Below are 17902 nucleotides of genomic sequence, written 5' to 3' on the forward strand. Positions count from 1 at the left end.
TAGTCCCCGCTTATTGGCAGTTTTGCTTTCTATGGTTTCAGTTACCTTCAGTATAGTACAATAAGATATTTTGAGAGAGAGAGACTACACTCAATTAACTTTTATTACAGTTTATCATTATAATTGTTCTATTTTATTATTAGCTATTGTTAATCTCTTATGGTGCCTAATTTATAAACTTTATCATAGGTATGTATATATGTAGAGGAAAAAAACCATAATGTATAAAAGGCCTCGGTACTATCCACAGTTTCAGGCATCCACTGGGGGTCTTGGAATGTATTCACCTTAAACAAGGGTGGGCTACTGTAACTCCTCTTACTCCATCACAATAATAGGAACTAAGAGGCATAGCAAAAGCATTTTTAGGGGGTTAAATTTCTGATGCTGATGTGAGAATTCTTTAACAGTGTTTCTGGAAAAAAGACATTTTATCTACGACTTTCAGGACAGAGCCACCCAAAATGTTTCAGTCGAATGAATGTCCCAAGGTCATCCTGGCCTAGTAGGCTTAAAACAAATGCCCTTCCTCTTCTGTGCAGGCTGGTTCCCACTTGTTCTGACCATATTCCATTTCTCACCCAAATTGAAAATTTTACTCATGAACTCTCAGAATAAAAACCTGAGTGAGACTCCTTTTATTTTTGAGAAACTTTTTTTGTCTGGTAAGATGTCTCAGATAAATACATCTAAATATAAATCCATCTGTCCATCCATCCCAACATCACCATTTATCCCTCCGTTGATTTTTTTCATCTAGTCAATCAATATTTACTTATTATGTACTCCACTAAATGATAAGATCCATAAGAAAAAAGATTTGTCTATATTATGCATTACTCTTAACATCTAATAGAGTGCAAAATATTTATCAATTAAATGAGTAAATGAAATAAATGATCAAGCACTTGCAGTGTCCACTATATTTGGTACTAGTTTTGCAGAATCAAGTGTTATCAGCTGGAGTGGGCAAAATAAAATATGCTCATTCTGAAATGTATTGAGATATATTTTGCCCACTTTCTATCCATACACCATACCATTCATGATAATAGCTAACATTCAATTGAGCATTTACTCTGTGCCTGTCGCTGTGTTAAGCATCACATATAAATAAGGGTTTATAAAAGCACTGCTATATCAAATCCTTGCAATATTTGCGTAAAATAGGTCTAGAACAATTCTCCTTTCAAGATGGAGGCACCAAGACTCAGAAGGTGAGTAACCTGCACCCGGTCACAACTACAGCAAGTGTCAGAGCTGGACAAAGTCTGACAGCAAGCCCTTTTTACTTCCTACATTGCACTGCGTCTCCACTAAAATTCCAAGCTGCTTATGATGTGATCTTCTGGCAAAGAAACAGTGTGAAATAAAATGTTAATTAACTGTCCTGGAATTTGAAGTGCATAATAATAATGGGTATCCTTTGAGATCCTCCTAAGACCCATGCCGTCTCAGACTGCACTAATCAGAAGAGAGATTGCTCTGCACAGCCCTGGGTGATTTGGGAGGCATACTTTGTGACTACGCAAGTGACGTATAGCCTAATGGGGCAATAGAACTCTGAGCAATTTTCTGTCCTTCAGAGAGGAAAGGGTCAAAATAAATCTCCCTAAAAGACAGTTTTGCGCAGCATTCAAAGCTGGAGACAAGAAAGGCTGAGGCTTGAGTACTGACCGTAAACATTAATTGCCTGAATCGCAGGCTGAGGTGCCCCCATGTGAGTCCTCTTTGGTGATCCTTTCCACTAGCCATGCTCTCAGCCTGCACTGACTTCCTCCCTCCTTGTTGCTCTCCAAATTAAATTTAGCTCTTTGCTCGCGGAAGACAGTCAACTTTAACACTCAGACCTGACCCAAATATACAACTGTGCCACCTCACCTCACCTCCAAAAGCCTCATGGGCCTGCCTTGCTTGGCAGCTTGAAAAGCAAAAGCTGCTCCTACAACCTCCCTGAGCCATGAAACTGAGAAATGTCATTGAAACATAGAGTAATAGTTAGGAGACATATAAATACGCAGGACAGTTAGCAAGGAATGTGATAACTACTGGAGTTTGGACCAAAACAGTTTCTGGCTGCCTTTTTTTTTCTTAAATGGAGTGAATACAGGCTGAAAGAAGACAATTTTTATAAACAAGTAAAACCCTGAGCCTAAGATAAATGTTGTGATGTACACACTGTAGCTGTGATGAACTAGACATGGTGAGAAATGCAACATACTGAGAAAAAGACGAAAACTGTGATAAAAGTGTCATGATGCAAATTGTTTTACATTAACAATATTACACTACAAAGAAAGAAAGACAAATACTTTAATGCAGCAAGAGAAAAATAAAACAAAAGCTTCCCCTGCAACTGCAAGATAAGTGTGCCATTTCAAATGCGCACTTCCCCTGCTCACTGGGAGAAGCCTCCAGAGGGACCTCTCTGTGAGAGGGAGAGAGGCAGCTGAGAGACATACACCCACTTTAAGGCTCTCAGGCTACACAGAACATTTTTTTCCCCAGAAAAAGGCAGCTGTGTCACCTTGCCTCTGGAACCATTGATCATTCCCTACTCAACTGTGCACCCTGGCTTCTCAATTAACACCCTTTACAGTCCAGTGTATGGCACACTTTAAGCTGTAAAGATAACATACAAAGCCAGAAAAAGAAATAACAGGCATGAATTTAAGGTATGATTAATGATTAGAAAAAAAATTAATTGTGCTATTTTAACCTACCAAAAGAGGATAATCCCTCTTTGCCTATCCATGGAAACAGAAATAAAAAAGGAAATGGATGACTAAGTTAGAAGCCGAATAGTCTATCACCAACTACTAAAAAGGAAACTCAGAGTGATAAATGGGCAAGGATGCAATGGTGGTGCAGTTGGCACTCTCCTGAGGCTAGAAACTTCCGGAGAGCCCCGCTGCCAGCAACAGCCTGGCAAGGAGAAGTGGGAAGGATCGGTCCAGTGGCAGTGCCGACTCCACAGCATCTCTGAGGAGCTTTTCCTTCAGTCCCCAAGAAGAACCATCTGTAGCTGCTCGTTGGATCATGCTGGTTCCTCAGTTACCTTCCAACAAATAAATCTTTGTATTTTTGAATTAAAAGAGAGAGCTGATAAGAGGAGGAGAGTACTATGAGAAACAGAAGGTATAACAATTTTTAAACTACCCCTAGTGCCATCTAGGAACCATAAGGACAATTTGCTTCCTGGAGATAATAATGGTGGCAGCTGCCATGTTTTGAAAGCTTCCTTCATGGCAGGCACAAGCACCTCATTTAATGATTTCAATAACCCTGTGAGGTAGGTCTGATTATCCCATTATCCAGATGAGGAAACTGAGATTCAGTAAGGTTAAGTAGCCTCCTCAAACTCATACTGCTGGTAAGTGGTTGAAACAGAAATTGCGGACATGTTGGCCTAACCCCAAAAGCTCATGTCCCTGACTATCATATTCTACTGGCACTTGACATCACAACCAAACAACTCATCCCATTTATAAGATCTTATAGAAAGAGCACACAGTCATTGGGTCTAACGGACAGCAACCCAGCACTTCAGTAAGATACGACTTTGGGTTTAGCGGCTTGCTCTATGCATTCTCCTACTTGTAACCAAAGCTGCATAAATAATATTAAATGATGCCATTTTGGGAAGCACCATTAATATCACAACAGGGGCCACAGAAAATGTTTAAGAAAAGAATGACTTCAACTCACTAAAACAGATGTTTTACTTATGTACATCTATCAAACAACTGTACCCATGGGATGCCAAGGAGAGAGCTCCCATCAACCCCAGACAGGGGGCTCCACCTCAGGCCTCACCAAGCAACACTGGCTTCTTTAAAGATCACACAGCAGTCAACATTTTATCAGCACTCAACAAACAAGTTAAGGTTTGGCTTAAATCTGAAGGTCTCTCTCCCTTTGGCATATTCTGGGATAATAGAACAAATGTCAAATCAGTACAAGATGGCATATTTACAAAATTGCACCCTGTTTTGCATAACCTAACGATGCAGCAGTTCTTAAGGATTGAACATTTCAAATCTGCTAGCAGAAGACTGCCAAATCTATGACTGTTTCATACACTTGCCAAAAGCCTATCAAATTTTGAGCAAAATGCAAAATAAATCTCCTCTACAAGTTAAATCAGTCCCTTCTGTGTGTTCCAGGCTGCCCTCTTCTCTTGGCAACAAGGCTCAGGACTTGGGTCCTATTTCTCTTGCCCTTGATCTGATACTTCTCTCTGTGTGTATTCATAAATCTATCCCCTCCCCAGGCTTATGTCCTGTCTTCTTGGCCAGCATTTGGCCTGCTCTACTCAGAGCCCTTCTTCTGTTATCCCTCAGTTCATCGGACCTGCTTCACACATCGCCAGAAAACCACTCTTCCTGCTATTCATTTGTCTACTGTGCTGATCTGCCTTCCCCCAATACGTAACCTATTGAGAGCATCATGCTCGTCCTCCCCATCTTCCGAAATCTTTCTCTAATGATTCAGATAAGTGCCCTCTCTCCCTTTTCTAACCCTCAATATCAATATGTTGCATAACATTTTTGTGCCTCAGTTTGTGTGTCCGTAAAATAGAAACACAGTACTTGGAGGATCTGGAGGAGAATTAAACCTGATAACCCATGTAAAGAGCTTAGAATGATGACTTGCCATAGAAGCACTTAATAAATGAATGAAAACATGAATGAAATAAATGAAACTAGACCCCCTCTGGCTAGGGAGCAGAGAAGGGGAAACTCTAACTTCTTGGCCACTCCCCTTCCCCTCCCTACATGCTCCTAAGGTATAGAATTCCTGGGGCTTCATAGTCACAATTTGAAAACCACAAGTCTTTTTCACACATATTGGATACTTTGTCATATTCAAATTCATCTTTTATTACCTACTCTCTTTTATTTCTCTTCCAAAATACTGTTTTTTCTAACTGACAAAGAATAAACTTCCGAATGATTAAAACGCCAGGCACCTTGAATGGGTGAATGAAAGTCTACCACGTTAACATTTTTTACAAGTTTGACTAAAAGACCTGTGACTGACCACATGAGAGACCATTCCTCACTGTTAGGAGCCCACTCCACAAGGTGTGGCTACAGCTGCTGTCTGCTGATTGACATTGGTTTTGAGGGTTGCCTCTTTGGATCTGATTCCTTTGCTCAAATCTGTCACCATTTCTGTCTGCTGGGACTGAGACATATTGCAGAAAAGATGTTTCCATAGAGCTATACTACCCTTTAGCTCAGATTTGTCACCCCTCCACTTTGGCTGCCCATTTAGAGCTTCCGGTATCAGCTCCTTGAGGTGGGGGGGATGAACATCTCCTTTCATCTTTGAGGTCTGGATATCCTTTAAAAGTGCTTCTCCCTTGCCTCTTGCCAGTAGTTGGATGATTATCTTCAAAAAGAGTCTTATGGACTCACTGCATTGGGTCTAGGCCTTAGTCTCAGGGTCCCCTAATCCACATGGCAGCTTTGAAAGAATAGGAAAGGGTGCTCTGTTTGGTTTGACACAGCCCTGGAGGTGTAGGCCTTAGAAAATGGAGTATGGTCTGGCTTTCAGCAGGGCACAGGCTGAACAACTGCACAAGGCATCCCCGCCTGTTCCATTCATGTATGCAAATGGCTCTTCTAATTCCCTTTCCTCAATGGTGAGTAGGACTTTGATTTAACGACATGTGCTTCTCTTGGTGATGTGGATTTCTCTAAATTCTTCCAAATCCAGATCAACAATCACCTAATAATAAATCCTTTACTTATTTGAGTTTTATTAAAAACTGCATTTTCTTCCAAAGGCTGTAATTCTGTAAATAGCCACGTATCAGTGGCTATTTAGCTGAAAACATGGACTAAGATCAAGGCCTTACTTGTTACACACTTTGGTCATTCCTAATCCTCAGTGTACTGAAAAGAGTCACTGATCCAGACTAAACGTGAACCGCTTTAAAAATATTTCCTTCTGATCCACTGAAATGCACAGGGTGGTGAAATCCTCTAAGGAATTGTCTCCTTTGTCTTTTCAAAAAGGATGTGAGGAAGAGAGAAAGGGAGAGAAGGAAAAAGAGGAAGAGAGAGAGAGAGAGAGGAGAGAGAGAGGAGAAAAGAAAAACAACCTGGGAAAGAAAAGTAAAAGATGGGGTCCAGAGGGGCAGCTGGGGCCTTGGAGGAAAATAGAATCTTTGAATGTATTCCTGCCAGAGACAAAAGCACAGGCTCATTTAAAAAACAAAGGAGGGCAGCTTTATTCTAAAGCCTGCTGTGCACCAAAAATAGGCACTTAGATTCAGTTCTCCACATAGATTCAGTTCTCCACATTTCGGAGGAAGCAACTTACCACGGTGGAGACAATTCAGTTAGTGCATTTGCCTCACTTGTATCCTGCCCACCTTAACTATCGCCCTCCCAAATAATTCCTCTTAGTAACACATTGGGAACCTTTAGCTCCCTGGTACTGGCAGTTTTAATGTGTCCATTGCCAGCAATGAATTTTGTGCCAAGAAAACCCGACTCCTGGCGTGGAAGGATTAAACAGTCCTCGGGTGCCATCTGTGCAGTGAAGTGAAAGAGTGACTTTGTGCACCCAGTGTGCGTGTGTTGCCATTGGCAGGAGGAAGTGACTTCTATTTACATGACTATCTCATGCAGCGAACACCTAAAGGGGGAGATGGAAATGGCCACCGCAGTCAGGGGTAGAGCTGGAGAAGAGGGGGAACTCGGTGGGAACGAGGAGCCTATAGGAAAGACTGGAAATTTATGCAGGTTGAAATGGCAGACTACAACTAATTATCCTATCTCATTATATAGGGAGGGCTGGATGAAGAGGAAATACCCCATTGGCTGATGTTATTTGAGGAGGTAGGGTAGGTGCCATGAACCTCCTTAGATGTCAAGGTTGGGCTTGATCTTGTGCTTCCAGCCTCCACTTTTTAAAATATAATTTTTTAAATGAACGTTTTGGATTCATCATACACCATGTTCAAGTGAGGGATTGGGATCCTAGGCAGTTGCACCTCTAATGTTTCGGGAACTTTCAGAATCTTGTAGGAGAAAACTCTTTGACAATCAAATTTAAGTATTCTGGTTGGGTCGTTAACAAGAAAATTTGAACTGGAAAATGAAAACGGTGATGGAGAAATTCTTGTATAACAATGTTTCCCTTCAAAAAGTTTTTAAGTTAAATCAGGAAAGGTTATACTTCCTAAAGGCGAAGGCAAAGAATACAATGTTGAATAGCTTGTACACCTTGAATAACTAACAGTACTGAAGAGGGGAAAATTCAGTACAAGATACCTATTAGTTCAAGGTGGAATAAAATGAGGATTCAGAGATATACAAGGAAACTATCAAAAGGGGATTCCAAAGGGGATGCTACTCCACTGAGAGGGCTGTGTAAGTTTCTGAATGGGTGGAGATGGAGGGGAAATGACATTCCACGTGGAAGGAGCAGAGGGCAAAGGCACAAAAGGGAAAGCCACAGAAACATTCAGAGAACAGCAAGCATTCCAGACAAAGTAGGCTACTACAGGAAGGGTGCCGAACACCTGGGTAAAGAGTGAGGACTGGGCTTAGTTGAGTACACAAGAAGGAACCATGAACATGTTGTGGGTGGGAGTTAATCTCCCAGCTCTGTGAACAATAGACTGGAGTGTGAGAAGACAAGATAAGGGGAGACAAATCGGGTTATTGTTATAAAAGGAGATAGGTTATGTGACAATAGCAATGTGGTTATGAAGAAGGAAATGAGTGTCTAAAGCAGCTTATGGGAGGTGGAGGAGAAAGAATGGGAAGAATTGAGCCCTAAGTATTAAATGGGACACTTAGCAGAAATGGGGACAATCTAATTATGGGACTGTTTTGCAGGGGTAGATGATTTGTGCATCTCACTTTGCAGATTGTTACTTTTCTATCTTGACTGAGAAACAGACATGAAAACCGTCATACAGCCACTAACACAAAAATATTGCTATCACAGCTCCCTGCACACACACACACACACGCACACACACACATACACCTTACTCATTAAGTAAGCTGAAAGTAATTGGTAAAACTAAATTGTCTATACTTGTCTTGCAAAACTAGAAACTTTTGAGTTTTACTGTATTTTGATCAGATGACTTCAGCATCCATAGTAATAGGGATGACATCTTACAAAAACATATGGATATTGCTCAGAGCAATGTATTAATATGAAGTCATGACACAGATGAAAAGAAATTGTGTTCTTAAGTTATTCTTATTGTTTTTCTTTCTCTTTAATTCACTGTCTTGTGAAGAATTGTGAACAATCTTTGAAAAATGTAAACATCATAAATGATTTACCTTGTCAGCTGTAAGTTTCAGGGTTTTAAAAAAATTTTTTTCAACCTAACATGACAAACAGAATCAGCAAAGTTTTGGAATGATCAAAGTGCCAGAAGGGTCCCTAGTACTTATGCTAGCACTTCCAGCTGCATCAATGTGGCACCAGAGACAATGCTCTGGCTTTGCCGTGGCATCCACACTAGCACATGGGGGCTGTCAATGATAGTTGCACCCACACCATATTTTAAATGCTATAGCCCATCTGCAGAGCAACCTGCCCACTGGTTCTTCCATCAGGCAACCAGCCTGTTGGATGCTATTCAGTGATTTAGGTTTAGGGCTTTTTAAGGGTACTGCCCAACTGTACCTACCTCTCACCTGCTTTACTTAAATCTTTGTGAAAAAAAACTGTACATAATTGGCTATGAGTAAGAAAATTATAGTCTCGTATATATATCTTACTTATGATAATACTGTAAGAAATTTCAATATATAGCTAAAGGTTTAGAGAGTCTTCTGGGCTCTAAAGGAATATGTTGAATTTCTAATAGGTTTTCTTAACTGAAATTTTATAATTAAAGTAATTATCTGATGTTGCTTTGTATTTCTAAATGAATGCATATTGTGACCTATATAGCATACGATAAAGACTGTAATTATGCAGAATACAGTAAGGGAAGCTATTGGAGTATCTCTAAACCACCTGTGTTATTTCTTTTAACAAGAATTTTGTTGGAAATAAAAATATGTATTTTCTAGAATAGATACAATTAAGAAGGTTCTTAAACCACTTATAAATAGGTTATAAAATAGGTATAGGTCCTCATCTCTTACTCTGTAATGGTCAAGGTTGTCTTCTGGAGTTGGGAGACCCATGTAACGTTCTGTGTACACTGAGTCTGTGAAAGAAAAAAAAATAAAAAAAAGTTTAATTCATACAATAACAACTTTTCTTGCTTTTAATGGGCCACTTCAGTGTTTCCATATGTATTCACTCATGTATAGGAATATAGAGTTACTCTCAGAAGTATCTCTATGTGGTTATGAAGAAGGAAAAGGGTGGCTAAAGCACCTTATGGGAGGTAATTTTTTACTTGGTTTGCTAATATAGCCAGAGATGCTAATTCCCAGATCCCTGCATACTCATACCTTTCCACACTCAGCCCTAACCCATTCTCAATTTTCCCTTACGATGGGGCAAAGGGAGATCAAACCAGATTATCTAAAATCCAATCAATAATCCACATGCAGAAAAGTCAAATGTGAAGTGCTAAGGGGTAAGGGATCTTAACATTATCATATGACCCTCTCAAAGAATTTTAGTTAGGAAGTCACTTAATGCCTCAATTGTGTTGAAATTTTTTGGTTATAATACAAGTATGTGCCCTGATTTATGATCATCTATTTCCTTTTGGAGACCCCTAACAATGTTCAATTACTAGTTGCTGATTTAAATCATATTTTATTTTGGAGATCAGACTGGGATTCACTATAATAAAAACAAATAATTCAGTTATCATTTATTTGCTGTATATCCCCATATTGGCTCAGCTACTCCATCATGATGCAAGTTTAACATTTGTTTTCTCTCATTTTGTGGTGAAGCCTCAATTTTTGTGGTATAACAGTTGAGCACTGTGAAACAGATTACATTAATATCTGTCTGCTGAAATGACATAAGCTCTTTTATCTATAAATATGGTTGAAAAACAGGTTGCATAATTGGTTTGGTTATTTTGGATAGTTAAACATATTTTGCCTGATTTTAAAAAATTAAATGATACATTATATATATTTGGCCTAAAATATCAGTAAAAAAATTATTGAGGCCAAATTGCAGTAAAACTTTAAAAATCTGACATAACTGCTTTGAAAACTGCCTCCTTAAGTGACCAGATTACAGTTAAAGAGTCTAAGAATTTTATCTTGCCATTGTGCTATCTAGGTTGGTGGCTTGAATTTCACTAAAATTTTACAAGTATTTCAAAACTGATTTCATTAATTTTAAAAATGGATATATTATCTAAATTCAACATTCTAACACTTTTTGAATGACTGGTATTGTAGATTACAAACTACACTAATGAGTGTTAGTTGCTCCATATGCATACTTTATGCCATTTCTATGAAAATCAAAATATTGTCCTCCAAAATTACTAACAGTGATATTTTATCATTTTGATTAACATGAATACTGACTATGCATAATTTTATATATTTAAAGGACACTAATATAAAAATAGAATATTTTAAAAGACACTTTAAAATATGAGAACTTCATAAAATGCTCATATCTCTTTTAACTTTAGCATTTAAATATTAATATCTTAGGTTGTACGTTAGATGGGAAAAATGGCTTTTAAGGGCGAAACACATTTTCCCCTAGGTAGCTGCAGACTTTAATTCTGCTTGTCATAGAACACAATACTCCTTTCTTATTTATGCTAACCAGATTTACATGTATAAGAAGATCTGAAATTTTAAAAATAACATTTAAAAAATATTATGCATAACTGCATAATACAATTGTAAACTTTTAAAAAAATATGCCTTGAAACACCATTTACGTATTCCTTTTGTCCCATCTTTGAATAAAATTGTTTAAATTTACACGTATATAAGAACTCTAGACAACTTCTATGTATTAGATTGGTCTATATACATTAAATGAAGTTTTCTTCTCATTTCATATTTTTAAACTTACAAAGATTTACTCCATTATTTTATTGACCACTAGAGGTCTCCAAAAACAAGCCATCCAACAGAACAATTAATATCAAGCAGAAAAATATTATGAAAACAAATTCATTGTGTGTAGATCAAATTATAACTGTGCCCTCCAATTTTCTTAACAGAAAGATATAAATGTATTTTTACATTGGTTTATCTTGACTGGGAGAGACTTTAAAGAGTCTTTTTCTCTGGGTACTACCATATTTCTGGATATAAAATATTTAATAAGCTATTCATCATCAGCCATTCTTTTCTTACACTAGACAGAAGACTTGAGATGGGGTTAGAAGAGGTGCAGGAAAATCAATTACCTCCTTACCACTTCTGAATCCCCCCTCCTCCCTCATCTTCCATCGCTTACTCCCTCCCCTTTGAGAATTGTAGTCTTAGAGGTAGGTGTATGATGCCTTATAAAATAATACTCTCTCGATGACAAAGAGCATATTCTAGAGTAGCTTTCACCTATTAAGAATGAAAAAAAACAACAACCCCCCAATGGGTGTTTCCACTGTTCCTCCTCTCCTCTTCCCATCCAAAGCCCTACTTGTATTTGACATTTAATTGATGGGAAAGAGATACATACTTCTCTCACTCTGCTAATATGTGAAACCCAAGAATCAAATCAGAGTAAAGATAAGGAATGATTTATCTGTAGAAATGTAGCATGGGGCTATTTTGAAATTCGGAAAACAGAATTTGTTGATAAAAAATCAAACGTGTAATAAAATATACCACCCAGCCTTGCAAAATAGCAGAATAAATGAGATCATCTTATTATAGGTATCCAAAAAGAACCTCTAAGATGAATCAGCCTATTATTCGCTGTAAAAACACTGAAACTCAGAAAGGAATGGCTTTGTTACTGGCATTTTGAGGTCAACACTCCGTATCTCTTTGTACCTGGCAGCAATTACATACCATAGTACTCCCACCGGGATACAGGCGCCACGGCTATTCCACACTTGAACACGCCACTTCCCGATCCCAGGACCATTGAGGTTACGTACCCTCCATATGACTAAGGAATGGAAACAGTTATTTTTATGGAGGTAAAAGAATAAGGACATATGGTAAGCGAGTCGCAGTTTCCACATTTCTCACATCTTTATATACTGTGCCTCTTTAGAGATAAAAAGCATGGTATAGGAGGCTTAAATTGGCCTTAATTGGACAGTATCTTTAAAGACTACACTTTCAGAGCCCTGATCCCTTTCTTGGTAGGTATATGGGGAAAACTACGGAAAATTTGCTGACCCTAGTGACTGGGTGGTACCAATTATAGAAGATTTAAAAACAATAACACGAAATCTTTACTGACTGATGCATAAGAAAAAGTCTCCCTCCTTCCTTCCCTTCCCTCTTCCCTCCCTCTTTCACTCCTTCCTTCTTGCTCTTTCTACCTCACCTCCCTGGCTCATCATAATAAACAAAGGTGTAAGCCTAACTCAGTGGAGATTCTGCAGAGTTACTGCCCAGAGACCTAAGACTTGATAGATGTGATTTTCACCTCCAAATATGTATATACAAAAGATAAAGTAACCTGCTCTGAGTGATATTCACTAACGAATGCATACAGATTCATCAGTCAACTACTCACCCAGCCCCAAATTGCAATTCGTTTGTTGTCCACAAATCCCATTTTTGAAAATTGTCTAAAACACAAGGAAAAAGTCCACAGATCAGTACTGCATTGTGTATAGAAAACTTAGATGAGGCACAAATGTGAAACCCTGCCATTTGTTCTCTGCTTCATTCTATTAGAGACTAAAAATTGCTGCCAGTAATCAAATAAACACCTGAGATAAATATCTATCATTTTAACCTAAGATCCAGATGAACATGGTTTACTTTTGTTGGAGTTCATAAAAATTGTGTGTGTGTGTGTGTGTGTGTGTGTGTGTGTGTGTGTATGATTCACAGAAAACAAATCCTGGCAGTTTTTTTCACAGTTTTATACAAAAATTTGCAGCCCAGATGCACTTTTCTTTACATAATTGAATTTAAATCTCTCCAGATGTTTTTCAGTTTGGGAGAGTCTGCCCCTGCAATGGAGAAAGATAAGGGCATGAAAAACTTCTGAGTAAGGGCTTAGAAATGTCTCCGGGCCCCCTACCTGAGAACTTAAACACCATTCTCTAAATAAATCCCTTCTTATGCTGGGTGTTGATTAGTTAGCTCAGTACCGTGCACTCAATAGAAATAAATTTTTCCTTGATGGATTAAGAAGTCTTCTTTGCCACAAAACTGTGTTCAGAGATGGAATCCAGGTAAAGAAATAAGAAAAATATTGTATGCACCTATTTCTTAATATTAGCCTGACATCAAAAGAAATTTTTTTTTACTTAAAAATACCTGACAAATGGAACTCAAATTTTTAGCATTGTGGGTGGTTGCAGACCTTTGCATTAACCTATCTTGATTTTGACAGTCTTTGTGTTTTCATGTAATATGTCCTAGGTTGCCCTAAGTTAAGCAGTGCTAGAAAAAAATTAAAATAGTTTTCAACTCATCTTTTCCACGTAAACTTTGTAAAATTGAAGGAGGCAGACATACAGCAATGTGCAACAGATCATTCATGTATAATTTGATCAACCTTTACAAAGTGAATGTATCCTTGAAATCATGGCCTGTGCATATTATCAGAAGCCTCTAAGGCATTTCCCTCTTTGCAAAGGGACAAAAGGAAATGTTTTTCTTTTATTGAATTCCATAAAAATTTCACTGAACTTTTGCCTTGTTTTTATCTTTACATAAATTGCATCTTGCAGGATGTACACTTTTGTGTCCAGCTTCTTTCATTCAACAGTATATGCAATTCATCCATGTTGTTATGCTTAGCTCTTTTTAGTTGCTGCAATAGTGTGTGCCACTGTATAAACGCACTATTTCTCAATACTTATTTAACTGGGGTTGTATATAGTAGATCCTTAATTTTGTAATTTTAGGACTTTTGTTGGTCAGATTTGAGAGACCCTGGAAACTATGCCCTCTCTCATAGAGGAGCGATCTGGATAGATACAAGTTTATTTTTAAAATATCAAAGCCTCACTCTCAAACAAATGTATCCCCTGTTTATTCTAAATCTCTATTTTTTAATTGTTAAGGAAAATAGCTAATCATTAACTTTAGTAAAAGAGAATTTCTTTCCTCAGGAATCCTTAATCAATTGTCATCTTCTCCTCTCTCCATCTATTTCATCATTCATGGATCCTTCTGCATTTCCTAGTCTATGATTTCATAACATTATTTTCAACCACCCTCCCTATTATGCTTCCCCAGACATCCATGCTGTTGGTTACAGAAACTCAAAGTTACATTTCCCACATACCAGTTGAATGTAATTAAATATAAGAGTCAGAATGAGACTGGATTCAAATCCTGATTCACTTTGGCAAGCTACCTAACCTAATAGTCTCTATTTATTTAATTAAAATATGGGGTAAGAACACCCACCTCTCGGGGCTTCAGCGACAATGCCTGCAGGTAAAGCACTTCTCATGCAACATGCATCTTATGAGTAACCATCATTGATTGTTAACATCTCTTGAGCCAGATCACATCTAGTTATAGTCCCATAAGTGAAGAGCACAAGAATGAGATGTGGTTCATACGTAACAGAGCCCTTATACATAGTACCGATGATGGTTGTGCTCCACAATTTTCCCAAAATAGCAGAGTCACCCTCATCCAGACTGTAGGAGCTACTCCTAGGACTTCAGAGTTGTCACTGCCTATGACGTAAATGTACACTGAAGGAAATGTACACAGTATCCTTGACTGTGAAGGAATGGGCTTGGCTTGTTTAGTCAGATGTTTACTAGGGTACATTTATTCCTCAGTTTGTCCCCGAGTCTGATGAATTTTGATTTTCTGTTCTTAGAATGTGGTAGGACATATGCCAACTCCCTTTCTAGAGTCTCATACAGAGAGGAATTTAGGAAATGCTTTTTTTTTGAACTTCATATCAATCTATAATGTAATATATTGTTATTTAAACATAACATCTTCACTAAAACCTACCGTAAGGATAAAAGATTACAAATTCATCCCAGAACACTTTAAATTATTTACACTTTACAGCTTTAAAATGTAAATTTTAAAGGGGAAAAAAAATCAGATGACCTTTGACTTCATCTCCTAGTCACTCACCTGGCTGCTTCAATTTGATCTTCAACTTCAAATGTTCCCAGTCTTCTGTTGATTGCATGCATGATCTTATCTCCTTGGTAACCACTTCCTCTGCCATCAAAGCTAGCTACTATAATGTTTTCTGTGCTTGCAAGGTAAGTGGCCCAGTTCAGTCTGAAGACAGTGTCTGCTTTTTGACTACATGGGCCTGCATACCTATGAAAAATACCAAATTGTTAGCTTTCATGGTTTTCTGGAATCAAATGAGGAATGCTTACATTTCTCTTCTCCGTGGAGAAGTATGCATCCTTCCCAATCATGAGCCTTAAACTGTGCCAGCCTATGGGGTGTCCAGAATGAGTCCTCTAAAACTTAGCAACACAACTACCATGGTTGTATATTTCCTTCAAAGATACTTGTCAGTTTTGTCTTTGAAGATAGTTATCAAACACAGACTTCATAGGCCAAGATTTTAGAAGTATTAATGTAATCTTGGAAATCAAAGAAATAATTTCTCTAATAGTTAAGAAGGGGGAGTTGTGGTATAAAAAAAATGATGATGACAACAATAAATGCAGCTTTGGATATCTTTCCATCTCAGCTTAACACAATACTCCTGGACTGCAAGTTTATTTCCTTCTTTAAGGACTTTGACTTCTGCATCATATGCTTTGCATTTCCCATAGCACCCGGCACAGTCTTGCTCACAATGACTGTAAATCATTGTGGAATGGACTGCAGTATGAATGAATGCTAACATTTAAAACTTCAGAGGAAGAAACAGGTTGCATTGGAAAACGGGCATGTCATTGGGCATTCTATATACTAACAAGTTTAACTCCCTTGTATCTGCAATCTTCACAGGCTACCATCTACCCTACACAGAGCTGTGTGCACAATCTCTGTAAAGCTCTGTAAAGCACTCTCATTTCTGCTTGTTAATCAAGAGGAGCTCCTTATAGCTCATCTCAATTCATTTAAATATGTCATCTTTGCACCATCTACACAACTCCTGGACATGGATACTCTCCAATAACTTATTCCCTCCCCAGCCCATCTCTCCACTCATCTGCTTACTGTCCCTGCACAGGATAGGACAAGTTCTGCTTACATGCCTTTGCTAATGTTTTCCTTCTACTTAGGGAGGTCAGTCAAAAGAACTTTCGTTTTAAACAAAACACTATAACATTCTAACTTTAAACAGGAAAATGCATTCATGCATTTCTTGAGCTAGCAAATATTTTTTCACATGTGAAATGCCTTGCTCCTCTCAATTATATTAAATTTGGTAGATTAAGAGCTTGCCTTAATATTAGGTATATATATCAAGTTCCCTAACCCCAAGATTAAACAAGATTATTTTTTAAAATAGAAAAAAAAAAAAGACCCTAAAAGAGAGGAAAAGGAAAATAACTGAACAGAAATATGTATTAAATTTACCATTTTTTAAAACCTTTTCTAATGGAGATCAAATCGTTACTTACTAGGAAGTCAAAGAAGATAAAAATATCACTCAAAAGGATGCTTTTTTAGCATTGGAGCCGAAGCCTAAAACAAATTAGTGTCACGAATGAATTGACTTCATTTGTTACAATTATTTTACTTGAAAAGAAATCAGATAACACATCTGGAATTTTAAAATATGTATCTTTTCCTTTCTTTGTGCTTTTATGTGTGGTTTTCATGAAACTGTGAATATAGTGGATCAAAGCTGTGTCTGATACTAATATCTGGGTCCTGCCTTCCTCTCCCCACTTTTTTTTTCTCGCTGGTAACAACAGAGACATTATGTCCCTGACCTTCAATGTCTTTTTCCGTATAATGGAACAACAGAACTTACTATATGGGTTTGTTGTGTGAATAAAATAAGGCAAATGATGCCAAGCACCTGGCATTCGGCAGGTCCCTGCACTAGTGTTGTTTCATTTTGTTTTTAATATAGGAAATGATGCAAGCCAGGACAGGAAGAGCCTGACATTATGGCATCATGGGTGACGCTAGGGCAATTTTAGAAAAATTAAAGTAGGGTGTATTCCTAATGATTATAAAAAATATTTTACAAAGCTGTCATATTTGGAATTCATGTGAGTTCACATTCACTATTCAAAGACTTGTGACTTCCTAACTTTCTCAAAGACTTGAAGTTTTTAATAGCGAACGCTCTCCTCTATCACTTCTCTTCACCAAAAAGGGGAATAGAAAATAGCCGGCAGTAATATTTCAGGAACTAAAGGAAGAGAAACATGAGGCAGCCAGTGGGAGCTGGGGTAAGGGAACTGTCACGACTGTTAATGCCCATCTCTTGCTTGTTAAAATGTCCAGGAGGTTAAGGATGAAAATGCAGACTTAAGAATTCCTTTGAAATTCCCTTGGAGTTCAGAGAAGCAAAACAAAAGAAAATCTATACACCATTATGTCAGAAAAGGAGTATCTCCCTTCTCTATTAAGAAGATGTGAGAAAACACAGGTTGGGTTTTGTGGCTGTACAGTGAAAGGAGGAAATAGTAAACAGTGATCCAGGAAGAGGGAAAGGACGCATTTGGCTCCATTTTTCAGTAAGCTGCACTGAGAAAAATATATATGACTCAATACTTCTAAATTGCTCCCTTCTCTTGAATACTTACACATCTAATAGTAGAGGATATTTCTTGGATTTATCAAAATGAGGAGGCAAGATCATCTGATACCAAAATTCTAAACAAACAGAAAGATTAATTAGTGAGGTAAGAAAAATTATT

General features: G+C 37.9%; 1 protein-coding gene across 8 annotated transcripts in view, besides 1 other annotated feature; it reads right to left on the reverse strand.

Annotated features, from left to right (window-relative positions):
* The window catches only part of DPP4 (dipeptidyl peptidase 4), an 81971-nt gene that overhangs the window by 4363 nt on the left and 59706 nt on the right, over positions 1-17902 (reverse strand). For all 8 annotated transcript variants that reach the window (NR_166822.1, NR_166825.1, NR_166824.1 and 5 more), the window contains 5 exons: positions 17789-17858; positions 15186-15380; positions 12634-12688; positions 11955-12054; positions 9138-9202 (listed from right to left, as the gene is read on the reverse strand). Coding sequence is in view for 4 of the 8 variants with exons in the window: in NM_001379605.1 (NP_001366534.1) it covers positions 9138-9202; positions 11955-12054; positions 12634-12688; positions 15186-15380; positions 17789-17858 (485 nt within the window). In the remaining 4 variants the exon portion in view is untranslated. The remainder of the gene's footprint in view (positions 1-9137; positions 9203-11954; positions 12055-12633; positions 12689-15185; positions 15381-17788; positions 17859-17902) is intronic.
* Positions 1852-2352: an enhancer, noted in NCBI's record as "H3K27ac-H3K4me1 hESC enhancer chr2:162854969-162855469 (GRCh37/hg19 assembly coordinates)". NCBI's record gives its function as "activates a minimal SCP1, AML or CMV promoter by ChIP-STARR-seq in naive H9 embryonic stem cells {active_cell/tissue: H9 hESC(naive)}" and the evidence as "EXISTENCE:reporter gene assay evidence [ECO:0000049][PMID:30033119]".

Source organism: Homo sapiens, chromosome 2, assembly GCF_000001405.40.
Source record: "Homo sapiens chromosome 2, GRCh38.p14 Primary Assembly".
In the NCBI taxonomy this organism is placed as follows: Eukaryota; Metazoa; Chordata; class Mammalia; order Primates; family Hominidae; genus Homo; species Homo sapiens.